Here is a 23,123-nt window from a genome sequence, read left to right on the forward strand (position 1 = left end):
TGGTGTGCTGAGAGGCGGGGCTGGCAAATGCAGCCACCGGGAGATGGGTTCACGCCTTCCACGACTCCGTCCACGGGCTTCTCCCCTTCCACACCCTGTTGACCATGGCCCATGCCCCCCGGGGCAGTGCCTGGGGCTAGAGTTCTCACGCCACCAGAACCTGCCTAGATGTCTCCGGTGGCAAAAACCCAAGCTGGAGAGTCCCTGACGCACGTCTTCCCCCAGACACCAGCCCACTGTGTTATCCCCCCAAGAAACAACCACCTGTGTCAGGGTCAAAGCCTTGGCCCGAGGAATCAAGCCAACCCTCTCAGGGAAGGTGTTGGATTCCGATGGGGTAGGTCCCCACCAGCGTTCGTTTCCAGGTCTGAGGCCTGTGATTGGCCCACCACGTGCGTGATGGTCCCCCTCACTGAGCTCACACCATGGGCCCACAGGGAGACGCACAGGGAGTATGGGGGAAGGCAGACACCGGGCCCGACCAGCTGTCCCAGGGCAGTCCCTCTTTCCCACTTTCCACCCTCTCTGTGGGCATCCTGCCCGTCCATGTCTTGGTTAGCGGGTGTCGTGGCACCCTCCCACGGGAGCTCCCCACTTCTAGATGAGGCACCAACCAGCGACTCTGAGGTATTACCACTGCACCCACACATGGGAGTGCTGAGACATCCCATCCATCCCGCGGAGGATCGGGAGCCTACTGTGGCACCTCCAGCATTCTGAGAGCCCCGACACCTGTCCCTGTGTTTGGGGATGTCCCCTTCGTCCCACTCCACAGCCTTCTAGGTGTTAGAATTGAACAACACCTCCTGTGAAAGGGTAGATCCCAGCCCCGCTTTAGCGAATTCGATCCTTCATGGATCCTTCACCACTGCTTCCACTCCGTGAATCAGCCCATTCTCCCTCAACGGAGAGCACCCCCGATTAATTTGATTCCCAAGCGGGTGCTTGCAGGGGCGTGCACACACACATACACACGCTAACCTTGAATGGTATCTGTATTTCTCCTGTCCTTGTTCGACACCCTGTCTCTCGGCGATGGGAGCTGGCAGAACCTACACACACCTCCTCACTGGAATCGGAATCTGTGCCCAAATCTGGGACCTGCCCAGCCCAGGATTCTGGCTGAAGGAAGCGGGCGATCCCAACTGTCAGGGAGGGTGAAGGCAGAACAGGGAGCTCTAGGAAATCTCGTGTGACCTCGAGAGGCGGTCGGGAAGACTGACCAGGGACACAGAAATAATCACGTCCACAAAAACCTGTTGGCCTTGGGGGTGGTGAAACGGTATTTCACGGGAACCATCCAAGAACAGCCAGGCCTAGCATCCACACTTGCCCTGGAAACCAGCTGGCCATTTTCAAATCAATGGTATGGAGCCCACCGGCTGCAGAAGGGGCTGTTGGCTGCGTATAGGACACCAAGGATGTGGAAGCCGCCTTCCGCGTAGCTACCGGCGGGCGGTTTCCACCAGGTTGGCCCGCAGGCACCAGAACAGACTCAGTGCCCCCACCTCCAACCGAGAGACTGTCTTGCCCTTTTCTTCCGCACTCCAGGTATCTTCCCTTTGGCTCAGCTTCCCACCAGGATGTGGTTTCTGTCTCCACCTGGCTACTGAAGCTAAGGAGGAGATCTGACAGAATTTGGTAACTAAGGTTCAAAGGTGAGGGCTAAGAGGAACTGAGGATGCCAAGCGGGTTTTTGCCCCAGATGACCTGACCCTGTGCATGGTGGCACCGGAGGGACATAACGGCTCAAGGAAGAGGACTGGGCCCCTGAGGGGCGGGGAGGATGAGCTCCGTCTTGTTCCTCAACAGCATGGAAATAACCATGCAGGAAAGGCCACTGGCATCAAGCCACTGGGGAGAGCAAGGATGCTCACGATGGAAAGGATGGTGAGAGGGCAGAACAGAAACAGTGAACCGCAGGAGGAAAGGTGAGAGAGACGGGTTCTGGAAGGAGGCCATCAGTTCCTGCTGAAGGGGAGGGAGAATAGCGCTGAAGAAGGGGAACTGTGAGACCCCAAAGTGGGAAGAGAAGAGGAGGGACCGTGAGCAAGGCGTGTAGGAGAAAGGCAGGAAATGCTGCTGTGGCCGGGCAGGGCCCCCACACACCTAGACCCAGAGCACTGTGGTGAGCCCGAGTGCAGGGCTGCTGCTCAGAGGCCGGCCCAGGTGCCCCGCAGGGAGAGGGCCCACCACAGAGCACCAGGGGAACTGTTCTTCAACCGCCAGTGAACCGGGCAACACGCTGCAACCCCCAACACTCCCAACAATCGCAGAGAGGGCAGACCACAGACCACAGAATATGAGAACGACTTTATTTCAAATTGCTTTGAACTGCGTTGGGAAGGGGGCAAATGCAGCGGAAGAGAGGAAGCCCTGGCTGAACAGGATATGGAGGGAACCCGCTTGGCTGCAGCTCCGGAGCTCCAAAGGTGGCAGCTGTTCATCTTGTAGGAAGATGCTGGCTCCAACCTGTGAAACAGAGTAGGCTCAGGGACGGGCCCTCAGCCAGGGCCAGCCCACAGCCCTCCTAAGGTACCATGATTGTGGAAAGGGGCATGGTGTGTGCAACACTCACTTCAAAGGTCCTGGAACTTGTCAGTGAGGAACTGCATGGCCGCTGAAAGAGAGAGGCAGAAATGGACACTCCAGACCCAGGGAAACAGAAACCCACGCCCTGCCCCGGTGGGGAACCACCTAGCCCTGCAACCAGAAACCCCACCAGCCCTGGGACTGACTCACCCACCCGTCACCTGAATTAAATGTGGAAATGCCTTCTAAGCGGGAAAGTGGTTCTCAGGTGCTGGGCCATCCCAGTACCGTACAGAACGTATTTCAAAGACAGATAAGCCAGCCAGCAAGCAAACACCATACAAGTCATACCAGGCAGTAGTTAAAGGGGAAACACAGGTGGTATCTCTAACCGCCCTAAGAGAAGGAGAGTTCTGGGACTCGTGGACTAAGTGTACACGGAGTTCAGACGACACATTGCTGTCTGTGCACACCCCTAGCTGGAAAGGCACAGAAGGCTCCAGGGCCAGGTCTGCTTGATTCTCCTCCCCAGAGGAAAGTCAGTCCCAGTGATGCTGCCCATACCTGCAGCCCACCACCGCCCCCAACACCAGCAGAAAGACACCGCTGTCCATCCCTGCCCCAGCCAGGGCTCCCTCATACCTAGCTGCTGTGTAAGGTCCTCAATTTCCCTCTGCAGCCAGATGCACTAGACCAGCGGACACCGGAGGAAGATAAATGGTTGGTCAATTCTGTGCTCCTCTCTCCCCAGCCTCCCTGCAGCCCCCATAGCCTGCAGCCCAGTGGCGAGGTGGGTTGGCAGGGAACCCTCAATGGAAACGAGGCACCCTCTCTCCGTGGGGTGCAGAAGGTGGAGATGTGCGGAGTGCGGTGGGGAGGGAGGGGGCGGACGCAGAAATCAGTTTAACCTGGACACGGATCCCACCATCTACTGTGGACCTCTATTTCTAGGAGCCACACAAAGCATTACCCGAGGACAGCCCTGGGCTCCCGGGGGCTGCTGCTGCCTTTCCGGTCTTGGGGGATGGACAGGCGGCTGCTGGTTACCTGAAAGAGAACACAAAATCCAGCTTCCAAGCCTCCCAGTGAGGTGGAAAGGGCCTAGTGGTGTCTAATGTGAGGCAGCATCACCCTCTGCTGGTACACGTTGCCCCTGCTCTGCCCAGCAACTCCAACCCCGCTCTGGGACTGCCTTCACTGTTCCCCAGTGTAAGCTCATGTGCACCTGTGGCCCCCTAGCATTGTGACTCCAGGTTGGACTCCAGCAGTGCGGCAGCCACAGCCAGGCCCTGGGAGGGCCCATGTGGCTGAGCAGGACTTAACAGAAAAGGGCTCAGTACTGCCGAAAGTCTCCTTCCAGAGTTGGGAGTTTGGGGCGCTGCTCCAAATCGCCCCCCACCACACAAACCCCACTCAGAGAGGACGATGTGGCTTAAAGCCAGCCCAGTCAACACCCCGTTTCCCCGTGGGACAGCTGCCTGGGTGGGCAGGGAAGTCTGGGAATAAGGCTGAGCCCCCAGAAGCGACAGGGCCAGAGGTTTCCCTCCCGACCCCTCTCCCCTCCACCCCTATCAAACCCACAAGACTCACCGGAGGGTGCATGGCGTCTGGGCACGAGGCCTCCCGGGCTGTAGGCCGAGGGCTCTGAAGTTCCCGGAAGTTGGGGAGCTCTGATGTTGGGGTCGCTACTGCTGAATTCTCCACGACGCACAGACAGGCGAGGCAGTCCTGGCCTGTGGGTGGGAAGCTAAAACAGAAACTTCTGAGTCGGGCTGGCGATGGGGGCCGGCGGTGAGTACACGTGGGGAGGGGTTGTGGTAAGGTGGAGACTCCTGAGCCTAATCTCATTAGCACTTTCTCCCTCAGTCAGCCTCAGGCCAGGAGGCAGAGGCCAGCCAGGGAAAACACTGGGGATACTGAGATAGCCCGGGGCCGCCTGCCAGGTGGGTTGGGCAACAGCTAGGGAAGGAGGAATCAGGAAGTTGATGAGCCTAGATGCCCCAGCTTTGCAGCCCACACTTTAAGGCATCACCCGATCCAAACCAGCTGCCAGCCCTGCCTTCCACCCCAGCTCCTCTCTGCGGGCGGAGGCAGGACCCCTGCAGAGCGTCCAGAGGCATGGCCATCACACAAGAAGTGCTCCCTTTAACGTGTGCCCTTATGAGGAAGACACCCATCGGGCATTCTAGTGTCCCTGGGCTCCCGATGACAACCCTCGAGCAAGGGACAGAGGAGGCATGGGTAAACAGGTGTGTGCTGGAAGAGAGGAGGTGTGGGGGGAGGAGGGTAAAGAGGGAGAGGAGGGCGAGAAGGGCCTACTCACTTGGGCTCTTGGGACCTCATCTCTATTTGGGTCATTATCTTCTCTGGCCGCAGCCTGGGACTCCCTGGTCTTCCTCCCTGCTGGTTTCTTCCCAGGGCTGCTGTGCTTAGGCTTTTGGGGTTTCTTGGACATCCCCTGTGGCCGCACACCAGAGAATGGCGGGAAGGTGGCCGGCTCCGGGGGAGCGGCTGAGAGTCTCTCTCCGCAGGCAGGAAAGCCTCTCCCCAGGGCCAGTTGAGAGGCACCCCCTAGGGACTTCTTCCCCCCGGCCATCTTCCTCCTCGAAAGGCCCTGGGGCAGGGCCCCTGCAGCAGCAGCTCCTGAGCAGCTGGGCCTGACCTCCACCTTTCCCCAGGCCCTGCTCTGCATTTTCTTCTGGGGAGAGTCCTCCAGCTCTCCCACAGCCGGCCTCTCTGCGACTGGAGTGAGTCCGCGGGGAGCAGAGGTCAGGAAACGGCCCGGCACAGGCAGGTAACTCTCCTTGCAGTGGAAGCTTGCCTGTCTGGATGTGTCTGCTCGCTTCTTGGGGCTGCCGGGCTTGGCCTGGCTTCCTTCGTTGCGGCAAATGCCTACCTTCATCAGTGGTAAGTCGCTGCTCTCATCTGCGGAATCAGAGTCGTGGGTAGGCAGCCTGGTGGGGCCTTTCGCAGAGGGCTGCTGGGGATCCACGCGGAGGCTCCATCTGCTCTTCGAGCCCCTTTCCGGGTTCTTCCAGGCCCGCACTGGCCCAGGACCGCAGAGGTGGAGACGGCCGGCAGAGGCCTGCTGCCATTTTCCAGGGCTGTGGCCCAGCACGTCTCTCCCACTGGGACCGACCTCCGCATCTGCCCAATTCTCAGCCGACCCTTCGGCAGCGGCACCTTCTGGGAACGGGTGTCCCTGGACGCTGGGCGGCGGCACGATGGCGGCTGGTTCGTCAGCCAGGTAGAATGAGTAGTCCACAACGTCCCCTTGGTCATCCACCGGGGTGCCTGGCCGGCCTTCCCGGCCCCAGAGCACCACCCTTCCTTGCTCTATCAATTCGCTCTCAGACTCGAAGCTGAAGCCCTCTGGATCTGTGAACCCGCTCTCGCTCTTGCCATCGCCGCTGCCCGGCACCCCCAAATCGAGGCCGTGGCTGTGGGCCCCTGGGGCTCCGGGGCTGGCCGTGCGGGAGCCAGCCTTTTTGCCACCCTCCAGGTCGAAACCGGCCCCACAAACGGACACCTTGTCGGGGGAGCTCATGGCGCCAGTCCGGGCAGCCTGGGCTGCGGGGAGACGGTCGTCCTGGTAACGGCGGGAGCGGAGAGCTGAGCCCAGCCAAGCCCAGCTGAGCGGGCCACGCGACAGAAACAGTGAGGCCTTCGGGACACCACCGCCCTCGCCCCAGGCGGAAGTACCAGATGTCCGGGACAGCGAGTGGCTTCCTCGCGCCCTTGACGCCGGCGCCGAGCCTTCTCATTGGTCCCCGTCTGCCAACCAGCACGCCCTTTGTGGGGCGAGGTGCCTGAGCTTTAACCAATCGGGACACAGGCTCTTGGTTTGCCTCCATGCCCGTCATTTGACTGGGTGGCTGCGCTCTGGTCGGGTCTTGGGGCCAGGGGGCACCGTAGCTCTCGATCACCTCTTTCTTCCTGTCCTTCTGCCTCTGGCCGGGCACCTACTTTCCAAGGAGAGCCACGTCTCTGAGCCCCAGTGTCCCATCTGTAAGGTGGGGATTAAGGGGAGACCTTCCCCCAGCTCATCAGCTTGGGAGAGTAAATGTCGTGATGCACGCAAAGCACCCGGTGCACAGAGGAGGTCTCATTGGAAAGTAGGTTCCCAGCCAGAGGCAGCAGGAGAGCAAGAAGGAGGTGGATCGAGAGCTCCAGTGCCCCCTGGCCGCAAGACCAGACCAGAGCACAGCCACCCAGTCAAATGACGGGTGTCGGGGCAAACCAAGAGCCTGTGTTCCGATTGGTTAAAGCCCAGAGGCCTCTGCCAACAAAGGGCGCGCTGGTTGGTAGAGGGGGACCAATGAGAAGTCGCGGCACTGGCGTCAAGTGCACGCGCAGAAGCCACGCGCTGTCGGGGACATCTGGTACTTCCACCCGGGGTGAGGGCAGCGGTGTCCCGAAGGCCTCACTGTTCCTGTCGCGTGGCCCGCTCCGCCGGGCTTGGCAGGACTCGGCTCTCCCCTTCTGCCGTTACCAGGACGACCGTCTCCCCGCAGCCCAGGCTGCCCAGACTGGCGCCATGAGCTCCCCCGACAAGGTAGCCGTTTGTGGGGCCAGTTTCGGCCTGGAGGGTGGCAAGCAGGCTGGCTCCCGCATGGCCAGCCCCGGAGCCCCACGGGGCCAGGGCCACGGCCTCGATTTGGGGGCGCCAGGCAGCCGCGAGGGCGAGAGCAGGTTCACAGATCCCGAGGTCTTCAGCTTCGAGTCTGAGAGCGAATTGATAGAGCAGGGAAAGGTGGTGCTCTGGGGCCGGGAAGGCCGGCCTGGCACCCCAGTCGACGACCAAGGGGACGATGTGGACTACTCGTCCTCCCTGGCTGACGAACCAGCCACCATCGTGCCACCGGCCCAGCGTCCAAGGGCGCCCCTCCCCAGAAGGTGCCGCTGCCGAAGGGTCGGCTGACAACTGGGCGGACCTGGAGGTCGGTCCCAGTGGGAGAGGCGTGCTGGGCCCCAGCCCTGGAGAATGGCGGCAGGCCTCCGCCGGCCCCTGGGAGCCCAGGGTTGCCCTCGGGTAATGCTTTGTGTGGCTCCTAGAAATAGAAGTCCACGTTAGATGGTGGGATCCGTGTCCAGGTTAAACTGATTTCTGTGTCCCCCCGCCCCGCCCCGTCACCACCTTCTGCATCCCACGGAGAGAGGGTGCCTCTTTTACATTGAGGGTTTCATGCCAACCCACCTCACCACTGGGCTGCAGGCTATGGGGGCTACTAAGGGCTGGGGGAGACAGGGAAGACGAGGAGAGAGGAGGCCAGAATTGACTAACCATTTATCTTCCTCCGGTGTCTGCTGGTCTAGTGCATCCGGCTGCAGAGGGAAATTGAGGACCTTACACAGCAGCTAGGTATGATGGAGCCCTGGCTGGGGCAGGGATGGACAGCGGTGTCTTTCTGCTGGTGCGGGGGGCGGGGGTGGGCTGTAGGTACAGGCGGCGTCACTGGAACTGACTTTCCTTTGGGGAAGAGAACCAAGGAAAGCCTGGCCCTGGAGCCTTCTGTGCCTTTCCAGCTAGGGGTGTGCACAGACAGCAATGTGTCGTCTGAACTCCGTGTACACTTAGTCCACGAGTCCCAGAACTCTCCTTCTCTTAGGAGGGTTAGAGATACCGCATGTGTTTTCCCTTTAACTGCTGCCTGGTATGGCTTGTACGGTGTTTGCTTGCTGGCTGGCTTATCTGTCTTTGAAACACGTTCTGAATGAACGGTTCTGGCATGGCCCAGCACCTGAGAACCACTTTCCCGCTTAGAAGGCATTTCCACATTTAATTCAGGTGACGGGTGGATGAGTCAGTCCCAGGGCTGGTGGGGTTTCTGGTTGCAGGGCTAGGTGGTTCCCCACGGGGGCAGGGGGTGAGTTTCTGTTTCCCTGGGTCTGGAGTGCCCGGTTCTGCCTCTCTGTTTCAGCGGCCATGCAGTTCTTCAACGACAAGTTCCAGGGCCTTTGAAGTGAGTGTTGCACACACCGTGCCCCTTCCCACAATCCCGGTAGCTTAGGAGGGCTGTGGGCTGGCCCTGGCTGGGAGCCAGTCCCTGAGCCTGCTCTGTTTCACAGGTTGGAGCCAGCGTCCGGAGCTGCAGCCAAGCGAGTTTCCTCCTTATCCTCCTTAGCCAGGGCTTTTTCTCTTCCGCTGCATTTGCCCCCTTCCCAACGCAGTTCAAAGCAGTGTGAAATAAAGTCGTTCTCATATTCTGTGGTCTGTGGTCTGCCCTCTCTGCGATTGTTGGGAGTGTTGGGGTGTGCCGGGTGTTGCTCCGTTCCCTGGCGCTGGAAGAACAGTTCCCCTGGCGCTCTGTGGTGGGCCATCTCCCTGCGGGGCGCCTGGGCGGGCCTCTGAGCAGCAGCCCTGCACTCGGGCTCACCATAGTGCCCTGGGTCTAGGTGCTGTGGGAGGCCCTGCCCGGCCACAGCAGCATTTCCTGCTTTTCCTGTACACGCCCTGCTCATGCTCCCTCCTCTTCTCCTCCCACTTTGGGGTCTCACAGGTCCCCTTCTTCAGTGCTATTCTCTCTCCCCTTCAGCAGGAACTGATGGCCTCCTTTGAGCACCCTGGTCCTTTGAGCAACCTTTCCTCCTGCAGTTCACTGTCCCTGTTTGTCCTGTCACTGTCCTTTCCATCATGAGCATCCTTGCTCTCCCCCGTGGCTTGACCCCGGTGGCCGTTCCTGCATGGTTATTTCCGTGCTGTTGAGGAACACGACGGAGCTCAGTCCTCTTTCTGGAGCCATTATTTCCCTCCGGTGCCACCATGCACACGGTCAGGTCATCTGGGCCAGTAACCTGCGTGACATCCTCAGTTCGTCTTAGCCCTCACCTTTGAACCTCAGTTATCAAATCCCGTTAGGTCTCCCTCTTTAGTTTCAGTAGCCTTGTGGAGGCAGAAGCCACACCCCGGTGGCTGGCTAAGTCAAAGGGAAGGTAGATGGAGTGCAGAAGAAAAGGGCAAGATAGTCTGTTGGTTGGAGGTGGGGGCACCGAGTCTGTTCTGGCGCCTGTTGGCCAACCTGGTGGAAACTGTTCGCAGGCACCTACACAGAAAGTGGCTTCCATATCCTTGGTGTTCTATAGGTGGCCAGCAGCCCCTTCTGCAGCCAGTGGACTCCATACCCTTGATTTGAAAATGGCCAGCTGCTTTCCAGGGCAAGTGTGGATGCTAGGCCTGGCTGGTCTTCGATAGTCCCTGTGAAATACCATTTCACCACCCCCAAGGCCGCAGGTTTTTGTGGACATAATATTTTCGCGTCCCTGGTCAGTCTTCCAGACCGCCTCTCCAGGTCACACGAGATTTCCTCGAGCTCTCTCTTCTGCCTTCACCATCCCTGACAGTTGAGATCGCCTCGTTCCTTCAGCCGGCATCCTGGGCTGGGCAGGCCCCAGATTCGGGCATAGATTCTGGTTCCAGTGAGGAGGTGTGTGTAGGTTCTGCCAGCTCCCATTGCCAAGAGACTGGGTGTTGCGAACAGACAAAAACAATAGAAATGCAGATACCATTCAAGGTTAGCGTGTGTGTGTGTGTGTGTGTGTGTGCGCGCGTGAGCATGCCCCTGCTAGCACCTGCTTGGGAATCAAATTAATCGTGGGTGCTGTCCCTTGAGCGAGAATGGACTGATTCATGGAGTGGAAGCAGTGGTGAAGGATCCATGAAGGATCGAATTCGCTAAAGCAGGGCTGGGATCTACCCTTTCACAAGAGGTGTTGTTCAAGTCTAACACCTAGAAGGCTGTGGAGTGGGACGAAGGGGACATCCCCAAACACAGGGACGGGTGTCGGGGCTCTCAGAATGCTGGAGGTGCCACAGTAGGCTCCTGATCCTCCACAGGATGGATGGGATGTCTCAGCACTCCCGTGTGTGGGTGCAGTGATAATACCTCAGAGTCGCTGGTTGGTGCCTCATCTAGGAAATGGGGAGCTCCCGTGGGAGGGCACCACGATGCCCGCTAACCAACACATGGGCAAGATACGCACAGAGAGGGTGGAAAGTGGGAAAGAGAGACTGCCCTGGGACAGCTGGTTGGGCTCGGTATCTGCCTTCCCCCATACTCCCTCTGTGTCTCCCTGCTGGGCTCATGGTGTGAGCTCAGCGAGGGGGACCACCACGCACGTGGTGGGTCAATCACAGACCTCAGACCTGGAAACCAACGCTGGTGGGGACCTACCCCATCCGAATCTAACCCCTCACCGGAGAGGATGGGCTTGACTCCTTGGGCCAAGGCTTTGACCCTGACACAGGTGGTTGTTTCTTGGGGGGATAACACAGTGGGCTGGTGTCTGGGGGAAGACATGTGTCAGGGACTCTCCAGCTTGGGTTTTTGCCACCGGAGACATCTAGGCAGGTTCTGGTGGGGGCAGAACTCCAGCCCCAGTCACTGCCCCGGGGGGCATGGGCCATGGTCGACAGGGTGTGGAAGGGGAGAAGCCCGTGGACGGAGTCTTGGAAGGCGTGAACCCATCCCTCAGTTGCTGGCTTTTGCCAGCCCCGCCTCCCAGCACGCCACCTCGGTTCCATATTCAGACCACCTTCTGCACAATAATGGGGCCATAACATGTACACCCTAGGCCCATGGTACACCGCATGGTCGGGCGGAGCCTTCTGGTTCTAGGGGATGTAAGTGCAGAATCCGAGGCTCCTCGGATTAGAGGAATCCATCTGGGTCCCATTGGACAGGAGGAGGTTGAGCCCTTCCCCTCATTCAGTGGCCCCCTTTTGCTTTTCCCTCAAGCCTCCTCTCCCACCAAGAGGAATGTGGGGTCTGGCCTGGAGAGCCTTAGACCCCCTCCTGCCTTGTCCTGCCACTCAGCTCAGATGAGCTCCAGAGGTCTGGTGAGCTGCGTGCCTGCCACAGTGGCGGAGCCCTGTGCAGAATCCCACCTACACCTGGTGCCAGGACTGCCACAGGTACATTTCCATATGAGACCTCTTACTTTGTTGGCAGAAAAGAGCATCTCCTCTTCAGACTCCAGCTAGGGCCGAAGGTGTGTGAGTCTCCTAGCACGCCCGCCAGCCAGAGTCCCCAAGGGTGGCCTTCCAGGCTGTGGCGGAGGCCCAGGGCACCGCACACGGGGATGTGAGATGGCAATCATAGGATCATAGTGGTCATGGTGAGTACCAGCCATGAACTTTAGCCCGCCTGGAACACACTCCTGGGTGAACTCGGACAACCTCATGCACATCTGTCCTCAACCTCCACCCCAAGAACTCCTCCTTTTCCCCACACATTTTCTCATCATGCGTTTCCTCGAAGGATGAGGCCAACACTTGTGTTTGCCAGGTATGGCCGCGGAGGCTGTGGCCGCCAGGGTGGCCGTGCAAACTCTATCTGTGGGATTCCAGGGTGCTCCGTTCTCGTGATCCAGTGTGAACGGCGCCCATGTGGTTGTGCAGTTGTTGAAGTCCGGGTCACTACCATGCAGAGCGAGGAACAGAAGGTTGGCAGGGTTTTGGAACCCTCCTGTTTGCCCCATCCTGATCACTACTTCCCACTTTGCACACCACAGAGGAAATGACTCTACTGACTTTTCCAACAATCAGTCACTTTCTCTTAAAGGATTAATAATTGCCATTTAATAACCATCATCAAGATATAAAAGTTAGAGGCGGTTAAATGTAAAATTACATTTTTGAAACATAATACACCCCCCCACGCACGCACACACCCATACACTCTCTGTCTCACATACACGCACACACACGCACACGGAGAGAACTCAGAAGCCGGCCATTTGACAAACAGTTGTAAGGTGATCAAGCCAGGTAGCTATTACCCAGGTCATGAAACTGTACATTGCACCTTTAGGGAATCGCAGTCCGAGTGTCTTTCTCTGAAGGAAGCCAAATGCACATGCTACGTACCGTGTGATTCCATTTATGTGACATTCTGGAAAAGGCAAAACTCTAGGAACACAAAACAGATTGATGGTTGCCAGGGTCTGAGGGTTAAGACGAGGAGTTCAGTACAAGAGGACGTAAGGGAACCTGGCGGGGGAGGGGGGCGGGGGATGGCGATGCTCTATATCTATATATATTGTGCTGGTGTTTTTACAGCCATACGCATTTACGAGATCTCACAGACCTCTGTGTAAGTTATAGCCCAATAGTCCTGACTTTTTAGAAAAAAAAATTGTCAGCAATACATCTCAAATGGAAATTGACATTTAGTCAATACCTTTTGTGACTATGAAGAGCATGCTTCTCTCTCCAAATCTGTTAATGTGGAGAATTATACCATTGTATTTTCTGAAGAGAAATTAAGTTTGTATTTCTGGGATGAAGCCAATATTAGTCATGCCATATTAGGTATTTTCCTTTTTATATCCTGTAGGCTTCCGTGTGCTAAGATTCTGGTTCCAGTTTTTACTTCTATGTCATGAGCCTGTGATTGATCTGCAATATTTCTCTAAGTGTCCCTGCAGGATTTGGTATCGAGGTTATGCCAAGCTCATACAGTGAGTGGAGGATTGTTCCTCCTTTTCAATTTTCTGCACGAGTTTGTGTCAAACGGAAGACAGGTATTCCTAGGATGTTTTTCAGAATGTGGTGGGGAATCCTAGAGTTTATTAGTGGAAAGCCTTTGACTACTCATATCTTTCTGTAATGATTCTGGAACGGTTCAGGTTGGCTGTTCCTTCTTGTGTTAGTTTTGGTGGATTTTGTTTCCTAGCGACTGGTTACCTTTTTCTTTGTTTTCAAACTGACTGTAATAAAGTGGTCCATAATATCCCCCTTCATCTCAGATTGCATTTGTTAAAATTAGGAAGTCACAGAAGAGTTGCACAGAAAGCCAAAGGAGCACCCATACGTATATTCTTCTACTGGATCCTGCAGTTGTTACCATTTTCTCACATTTGCTTCATCCCTCCCTCCATGCCGCGCCCCCATCTTTTTCTGAGCGTGTGCGTGTATTTTTTTTTTTTTATTGTTTTGTGGAATCATTTGAGATCCATTGGAATCATTTAGATCCATCATCCGTAAATACTGCAGCATGTATCGCCTACAGGGAAGCATGGGCTCCCACAAAACCTTAATGCCACCATGACACTCAGGAAATGTAACATTGAGACCACACAATTTTCTACTGTATGATCACATGAAACATTTTCCGATTGTCCCCATGGTCACATAGTATCCCTCATGGCTGCTTTCTAACAAAATTTTCTTTCCAACCAAACATCATGCTTTGCATTTAGTAGTCAAGTCTCTTTTGAGACAGGGTCTCCCTCTGTCGCCCAGGCTGGCTTGCAGGGTCGTGAACCTGGCTAAGTGCAGCCTTGACCTCCCAGGCTCAAGCCATCCTCCTGCCTCAGCCTCCTGAGTAACTTGGACTACAGGCGAGTGCCACCATGCCTGGCTAATTTTTAACATATTTTTTGTAGAGACAGGGTTTCACCGTCTTGCCCAGGCTCGTCTGGAACTCCTGAGCTCAAGCCATCCGCCCGCCTAGGTCTCCCAAACTGTTGGGATTACAGGCGTGAGCCATGGTTCCCGGCCCATCAAGTCTCTTCAGTGTCCTTTAAAGTGTGCTTTAAAGCAATGTTTAAAGTGTGCTTTAAATCACTGCAGCTGTTGTCGGGAAGCCCTTGAACTTGGCTTTGTCGAGTGGCTTCCTTGTGATTAGATTCAGGTAGGTTTAACATTTTTGGCAAGACTACTGCATAGCAGACGTGCCGTCCTTCTCGGTGCATGACATCAGCAGATTCTCCATGTAGGCTTCTCTCATGACTGGCGATGTTCATCTTGACCGACCATGTGGCCAGGGCGTTGTTCCAGATTACTCCATTGTGAAGGTGCCATCTTCTCTTTGTATTTAATTAGCTATGTGCTGTTACTGCATGGGCACTCTGTGTGAATATCCAGTTCCCCCACAACATCCTCTTTCTATCTTTTGGATGTCTGCATATGATATGGCTTGGAACCGTGTCCCCACCAAGTCTCGTGTCCAACTGTGACTTCTAATGTTGGAGGTGGGGCCTGGTCGGAGGTGACTGGATCATGGGGCTGGATTTCTCAGGAATGGTTTAGCAGCATCCACTTGGTACTGTCCTCATGGTTGCGAATGAGTTGTCATGAGTCTGGTCGATTAAAAGTGTGTGACACCTCTCCTTTCTCTTTCTTGCTCCTGCTCCTGCTCCTATCATGTAACAGGTACCTGCTTCTGTTTCACCTTCCGCCGTGATTGCAAGCTTCCTGAGTCCTCCCAGAAGCAGAAGCCGCTATGCTTCCCTTCCCGTACAGCCTGCAGAACCATGAGCTCTTCTCTTTATAAATGACTCGGTCTTGGATATTTCTATATAGCAACACGAGAACGGACGTAACATCGTTTGTGCTTATTTCTCCCTTTTCTTTCCTGATAGCGGTGCCCTTCTCCCTTGTTTTCTTGACCAGTCTCACAAGAGTTTTACCAATTTCATTCCTCTTCCAAACACCCAGCTTCTGGTTTTGTGATCCTTATGCTTGTTTTCGCTTTCACTGATTTCTCCTTTTACCTTGATGACCTCCTTCTACTTTCCTTGGTCTTACGTTGGGCTTCTTTTTTGAACGTTTTCTCGTTAATTGTCTGCGATCCTCTTTTAAATATGTGCTTTTAGCAGCCTACACGTCCCTCTCAGGACTCCTTTACTGGTGCCGACAAGGGTTTATGAGTAGTATTTTTGTGATCATCCAGTTCCAAATATGGGAAACCATGAAAATCGCAACTTTCATGGGACGGAATGAATACATTGTGGTATGTTAATACAATGGAATACTATTTCAGCAACGGAAAAGTACGAAGTACAAAGTACTCCTCCATGGAATAATAGGCGCGAATCTTACAAAGATAACATCGAGGGAAAGAAGCAAGGGACAACACGGACATGCTTAATGATTCCATTCCTATAACTTCAAATGACAGGCAACACTAACCTACCTTGTTGAAGAATGCATACTTAGGATATAAAACCACAGAGAAGAGCAAGGAAAGGACAATCAGAAAAGTCAGGATGTTGGTTTCCCCTTGCAGTAGGAGTGGGGCTGAGCTCAGGCAGGGACACCCCAGGAGGCTCTGGGGAATGCTGGCGGTGTTCTTCTCTGGGACCTAGGGGAGCGTTCCTGTGCAGGTGCACTGGACAATCATTTATTAAACTATGCACATAAACTGTGATGTTTTCTTTCTGTACGTTGCCTGCCACCATAAGCAGACAAAACAATAGTGCTAAGGGAAGTAACACTGCATTAAACAGGTAAGTATTTTATAACCAGAAGGATAACCAAAATTTTATTTTCTCTATTTATAGCAGATCTCCTTGCGAGTACTAATATCAGTTTATTGATAGTGATAGCTTGATTTCAAATTCTCATAGATTTCACCAAACATCGTAGGAACGATGCTTACATAATTGTGATATTAATTTCGATGTTTTGGTAAATATTTTATATTTGGGTGGCAAGTTTTCATTCAGAATTTGTGATTATGTGTTGGAACACCATGCACTTGGTACATTTTTCTCACGGGAGATTTGTCACCTCCCCATCCACTTATTCTCAGGGGCAGACGACTTAGGACCTGAGAAAAAGAAATTAAGGCAACAACATTAAGGGGCAGCAACGCAAATTTTTACCTTCATAGTTTATATCAGTTAATTGTGGTATACTCACATGATGGAATACCTTTTTTTTTTTTTTTTTTTGCAATGGAAATGTACGGGGTATTCTTAGGGATACTGTCCATTTTTAAGAAAAGTCCATTACCAAGATATAACAAATTACATAAAGTTAACTATCATATGATATTTATAAAGCATACTACACATATATACAAGTTTAGAAAACCAATCGACTGTGAATGAACTGTTGAGAAGTGAGGAAAACACGTATTGAGTACTGAGGTCAAGAAAGAGTACATTGCAGTTCTAGAGGTCTTATATGTATTTCATTGTGCTAAAGACACCAAATATGAAACTCTACATAATGTATGATTCCATTTGTAGAACATTCTTAAAACTGGAAAACTACACATACAGAAAACTAATCAGTCATTTCCAGGTCTGTGGATTGTGAGAAGTGTTTAACTACAAATGCGTGTTATTTGTTATTAGCAATTTCGACCCTCTTTATGTTGAAATGTAACATACATAGAGAGAAGTTCACAATATGTGTGTGTTGTTTAATAGTGATTATCAAGGGCATCTCTACAGAAACACCCCCATGTCACAGAGGAGAACACCGCCAGCATTCCCCAAAGCTCCTGGGGTGTCTCTGCCTGATCTCAGCCTCATTCCTCCTTCAAGAGGAAACCAACACATTTACTTTTGTGATCATTCTTTCCTCAGTTTTCTCTATGATTTTTGGTCCCACGTCCTATACTACATTCTTTTATCTTTTTTTTTTTTTCCTTTTTCTGGAGAACGGGGTCTCGCTATATTGCCCAGGCAGGTCTCGAACTCCTGGGCTCAAGCTATCCTCCCGCCTCTTGCCTCCCTGAGAGCTGGGATTACAGGCGTGAGCCACCGCGCCCGGCCTACATTCTTTTAATACTACAGTATGCCTGCAGACGACATGTTCCTAAATCTAGAAAACCCCACAGTCTCAGCCCCAAAGCTCCTTAAGCTGATAAACAACTTCAGCAAAGTCTCAGGATACCAAATCAATGGGAACAATCACTAACATTCCTATATGCCAACAACAGTCAAGCAGAGAGCCAAATCAGGAACACAGTCCCATTCATAATTGCCACACACACACACACACACACACACACACACACACACACACAAGATACCTGGGAATACACCACACCAGGGAGGTGAAAGATCTCTGCAAGAAGAACTACAAAACACTGCTCAAGGAAATCAGACATGTCACAAGCAAATGGAAAAACATTCATGCTCATGGATAGGAAGATCAATATAATTAAACTGGCCATACTGCCCAAAGCAATTTGCAGATTCAATGTGATTCCTAGTAAGTTATCATTGGCATTCTTCACAGAACTAGAAAAACTATTTTAAAATTCATATGGAACTGAAAAAGAGCCTGAGTGGCCAAGGCAATCCTAAGCGAAAAAGAACAAAGCTGGAGGCATCACGCTACCCGACTTCAAAATATACCACGGGCCCACAATAACCAAAACAGCATGGTACTGGTACAAAAGCAGACACGGAGTCCAATGGAACAGAATAGAGAGCCCAGAAATAAAGCCGCACACCTACAACTCTCTGATATTTGACAGACCTGACAAAAGCAAGCAATGGGGAAGGTATTCTCTGTTCGGCAAAGGGTGCTGAGATAACTGGCTAGCCATACATGGAAGACTGCAACTGGATCCCTTTCTTACACCAGGTACTGGTCTGTTCTCTTGCTGCTAATAAAGACATACCCGAGACTGGGTAATTTATAAAGTAAAGAAGTTTAATGGACTCACAGTTCCACATGCCTTGGGAGGCCTCACAATCGTGGCAGAAGGCGAAGGAAGAGCAGAGGTGTGTGTTCCATGGCGGCAGAAAAGACAGCATGTGCAGGGGAACTGCCCTTTATAAAACCATGAGAACTCATGAGACTTATTCGCTATCACGAGGACAGCACGGGAAAAATCCGTCCCCATGATTCAATTACCTCCCACCGGATCCCTCCCACAACACGTGGGGATCATGGGAGCTACAGCTCAAGAGGAGATTTGGGTGGGGACACAGCCAAAGTATATCATACCGTATACAACAATTAACTCAACATGGATTAAAGACTTAAATTAAAACCCCAAAATATAAAAACCATGGAAGACAACTTAGGCAATCATATTCTGGACACAGGAACGAGCAACGATTTCATGACGAAGACACCAAGAGCAATTACAACAAAAGCAAAAATTGACAAATGGGGTCTAATTAAGCTAAAGAGCAAGCTTCTACACACTAAAGGAAACTGTCAACAGAGTGAACAGAAAACCTACAGAATGGGAGAAAATTTTTGCAAACTGTGGATCTGACAAAGATCTAATATCCAGCATCTATAAGGAACTTAAACAAGTTCCACAAGAAAAATACCAAACAACCCCATTAAAAAGTGGGCAAAGGACATGAACAGACACTTTTCAAAAGAAGACATACATGCGGCCAACAATCCCATGAAAGAAAGCTCAACGTCACTGACCATTAGAGAAATGCAAATCAAAACCACAATGAGATACCATCTCACGCCAGTCAGAATGGCTATTACTACAAAGTAAAAGAATAATGGATACTGGCGAGGTTGCAGAGAAAAAGGAACACTTATACACTGTTGGTGAGAGTGTAAATTAGTTCAACCATTGTGGAAGACAATGTGGTGATTCCTCGAAGACCTAAAGACAGAAGTACCATTCAGCCCAGCAATCTCATTACTGGGCATATACCCAAAGGAATATAAATCATTCTATTATCAAGACACGTGCACGTGTATGTTCATTGCAGCACTATTCACAATAGCAAAGACATGGAATCCTAAATGCCCATCAATGGTAGACTGGATAAAGAAAATGTGGTACATATACACTATGGAATATTATGCAGCCATAAAAAGAATGAGATTAGGTCCTTTGCAGGAACGTGGTTGGATGGGGAGGCCATTATCCTTAGCAAACTAATGCAGGAACAGAAAACCAAATACCGCATCTTCCCACTTATAAGTGGGAGCTAAATGACGAGAACACAGGGACACAAAGAGGGGAACAACACACACCGGAGCCTATCGGACAGTGGAGGGTGGGAGGAGGGAGAGGACCGGGAAAGTAACAAATGGTACTAGGCTTAATCACTGGGTGACGAAATAATTTCTACAAGAAACCCCCACGACACAAGTTTACCTATGTAACAAACCTGTACGTGTACCCTCGAACTTAAAAAAAAAGTTAAATTCAAGAAATAATAATGATATGGCTTGGTGTTGACTGTTCTGTACTTTTATATTAGTGGAATCAGAAAATATGTTCATATTTCTTGCTTCTTGTGTTTAATGTCAGGAGTTTGGTTTCGGATGTTTAAATCTGAGATGTGTGTTAGGTATCCAAGTGGAGATGTTGAGTAGACGAAGGTCTGGCTCTGGGTTGAAAAAGTATCTATGAGAGTCATCATAGTATCGATATTTTTTTCCAGGGCCCACTCCAGAGATAGAAATTACACCACTTTTCTATTGAGTTATGTTAAAATACACGGAACATAAAATTTACCATCTTAAGCATTTTTCAGTGTTCAGTTCAGTAGTGTTAAATATATTCGCAGTTCTGTGCTGCCAATCTCCAGGATGTCTTCAACTGCAAAACTGAAATGTATACCCGCTAAACAACTCCTCGTTTTCCCCTGCCCCCCAGCCTCTGGAAACCACCACTCTACCTTCTGTTTCTGAGTTTGAATATTTTAGATCCCTTATACAGGTGGAACCATGTAGTATTTGTCCTTTTGTGACTGACTCATTTTATAGCATAATGTCCTAAAGTTTTATCCACATTGTAGCATTTATCAGAATTCCATCTTTTTATGGGCGAAATCATAATTCATTTTAATGGCCAAATAATAACTCACCATACTTTGTTTCTGTATTCATCCATCAGTGGACACTTGGGTTGCTTCCATCTCTTGGCTCTCATGAATAATGCTGCTATGAGCAGGGGTGTACAAACAGCACTTTGAGACTCTGATTTCTCTTCTTTTGGATATAGACACAGAATGGAATTACTGGATCATATGGTAATTCTCTTTTTAGTTTTCTGAGTAACTGCCATACTGTTTTCCACAGCAGCTGTGCCATTTTACATTCCCACCAACAGTGCACAAAGGTTCCAGTTTCTGCACATCTTCACCAGTATCACATCAGTTTTATTGAACAAATGGAATTTATTTCATTCCTTTGTATTTTATTTTTGTTTATTCGTAATGACACAATTGTATATATTTATAGTGCACAACATGATGCTTTGAAATACGTATACATTGTACAATGGCTAAATTAGGCTAACTACAATATGTATGAACTCACATACCTTTCATCTTTTGTGGTGAGAACACTTAAAACCTACCCTCTTAACAATTTTCAAGTATACATTATTATTAACTATAGTCACCTTGTTTACAATAGATCTCTTGAACTTAGACTTCTTGTCCAAATGAAGTTTTGTATCCTTTGACCAATATCTCCCCAATCCTTCCCAGCCCCAGACCCTGGTAACCACCATTCTATTCTCTGTTTCTAAAAAGTTTGATTTTTTAAGATTCCACATCGCAGTGAGATCATACAGTATTTGTCTTCCTGTGCCTGGCTTATTTCACTCGACATAATATATTCCAGATTCACTCATGTTGCCACAAATGACAGGATTTCCTTTTATTTTTTTAAAAAAGGCTCAATACTATTCTATTGTGTGTGCACATACACATGTGCTTTATCCATTCATCCATTTGATGGGCTCTTAGGTTCATTTCACGTCTTGGCTGTTGTGAACAGTGCTGCAATGTATATGTGAGTGCAGATATTTTTGACATACTGATTTCATTTCCTTTGGCCATATATCCAGTAGTGAGATTACCAAATTAAATGATAGTACTATTTATATTTCTTTAATTTTAATTTTTAATGGATACATAATATTTGCACATATATATGGTGTACATGTGGTATATTGTCACGTGCATAGAATGTATAATGATCAATTCAGGATATTTGGGGTAACCATCACCTGGAATACTTTTCATTCCTATGTATTGGGAACATTTCAAGTCCTCTCTTCTGGCTATTTTGAAATATACAATACATTGCCGTTAACTGTAGTCATCCTACTCTGCTGCTGAACATTAGAAGTTACTCTGTCTTTGTTTTTTTGGGGACTGGGTCTCACTCTATTGTCCCAGGCTGGAGTGCAGCGGTGCAGTCACAACTCACTGCAGCCTCAACCTCCTGGGCTTAAGCGATCCTTCCACCTCAGCCTCCCGAGTAGCTGGGACGACAGGTGCGCCCCACCACGCCTGGCTAATTTTTTTTTTTTTTTTTTTTGTAGAGACTGGGTTTCACTATACTGTCCAGGCTGGTCTGGAACTCCTGAGCTCATGCGATCTGCCCGCCTCGACTTCTCAAAGTGCTGGGATTACAGGCATCAGCCACCATACCTGGCCTAGAACTTATTCCTTCTTTTCAACTATATGTTTGTACCTATTAACCAACTTCTCTTCTTCCCAACCCCTCGTCCTCCAATCCACACATCCTTCCCAGCCTCTCATATCTATCACTCTATTCTCTACCTCTATGAGATCAACTATTTTAGCTCCCTCATATGAGTGAGAACACACGGTATTTGTCTTTCTGTGCCTGGCTTATTTCACCTAACTTAATGACCACCGGGTCCATCCATGTTGCTGCAAATGAAAGGATTTCATTCTTTCTGTGGCTGAATCGTATTTCCTGTGTATATATGCCACATTTTCTTTATCCATTCATCCACTGATGGTTGATTCCATACCTTGGCTATTGTGATGAGTGCTGCAATAAGTATGGGAGTGTAGGTATCCCTTTGGTATACCAATTTCCTCTCTTTTGGATAAATACCCGGTAGTGGGATTGCTGGATAGTTGTACTTTTAGTGTTTTGAGAAGTCTCCATACTGTTTTTTTACAGTGGTTGTACTAATTTACATTCCCACCAACAGTGCATAAGGGTTCCCTTTTCTTCACATCCTCGCCAACACTTGTTCTCTTTTATCTTTCTGATAATAGCCATTTTAACAGGTGTGAAGTGATAGCTCATTGTGACATTTCCCTGATGATAAGTGATGTCGAGCATTTTCATACAACTGTTGACCATTTGTATGTCTTCTTTGGAGAAATGTCTATTCAGATCCTTTGCACGTTTTAAAATCAGGTGATTTGTTTTCTTGTTATTGAGTTGAGTTCCTTATGTATTTTGGATATTAACTCCTTATCAGATGTATAGTTTGTGAATATTTTCTCCCATTCTGTAGGTTGCCTCTTCACTCTGTTGATCGTTTCCTTTGTTGTGCAGAAGCCTTTCAGTTTGACGTAATCCCATTTCTCTATTCTTTCTTTGGTTGCTCATGCTTTTGGGGTCATAGCGGAAAGATTATCGCCCAGGTCAATGCCATGGATGTTTCTCGCTATGTTTTCTTCTGGCAGTTTACAGTTTCAGATCTTACGATTAAATCCGGAGTCCATTTTGACTTGATTTTTGTATATGATGTGAGACAAGGGTCCCATTTTATTCCTCTGCATGTGGATACTCCGTTTTCCCAAGACCATTTATTGAAGAGACAGTCCTTTCTACATTGTGTGTTCTTAGCATCTTTGTTGAAAGTCACTTGACCATAAGTGCATGGATTTTTTCTAGTCTATTATATTTGTCCATGTGTCTGTTTGTATGCCAGTACCATGCTGTTTTGATTACTCTAGCTTTTATTATATTTTGAGATCAGGTTGTGATTCCTCCAGCTTTGTTCTTCTTGCTCAAGATTGCCTTGGGTAACTGGAGTCTTTTGTGGTTCTCTGCGAATTTTAGGATTGCTTTTTCTGTTATGTAAAAATAGCATCGGAATTTTGATAGGGATTGCAGTGAGTCTGTTGATTGCTTT

General features: G+C 50.5%; 1 protein-coding gene across 1 annotated transcript; it reads right to left on the reverse strand.

Annotated features, from left to right (window-relative positions):
• Positions 1–2,298: 2,298 nt before the first annotated feature.
• On the reverse strand, positions 2,299–6,213 carry CXorf49 (chromosome X open reading frame 49). The gene is made up of 6 exons (NM_001145140.2): positions 4,856–6,213; positions 4,123–4,279; positions 3,503–3,579; positions 3,175–3,220; positions 2,579–2,620; positions 2,299–2,472 (listed from the first exon to the last, which is right to left on the reverse strand). The coding sequence occupies exons 1-5, from the start codon at positions 6,077–6,079 to the stop codon at positions 2,580–2,582; spliced, it is 1,545 nt and encodes a 514-aa protein (NP_001138612.1). The 5' UTR covers positions 6,080–6,213; the 3' UTR covers positions 2,299–2,472; position 2,579.
• Between the last annotated feature and the right edge of the window lie 16,910 nt (positions 6,214–23,123).

Source organism: Homo sapiens, chromosome X (assembly GCF_000001405.40).
Source record: "Homo sapiens chromosome X, GRCh38.p14 Primary Assembly".
Classification (NCBI taxonomy): Eukaryota; Metazoa; Chordata; class Mammalia; order Primates; family Hominidae; genus Homo; species Homo sapiens.

Excerpts from the sequence above, each read along its gene's own strand:
- CXorf49 (NM_001145140.2), bottom strand. The coding sequence starts at position 6,079 with ATGAGCTCCCCCGACAAGGTGTCCGTTTGTGGGGCCGGTTTCGACCTG. Across the intron at positions 3,221-3,502 it reads GAGCCCAGGGCTGTCCTCGG|TGCATCTGGCTGCAGAGGGA; the intron begins GTAATGCTTTGT and ends CCGCTGGTCTAG. Across the intron at positions 2,621-3,174 it reads GGACCTTACACAGCAGCTAG|CGGCCATGCAGTTCCTCACT; the intron begins GTATGAGGGAGC and ends TCTCTCTTTCAG.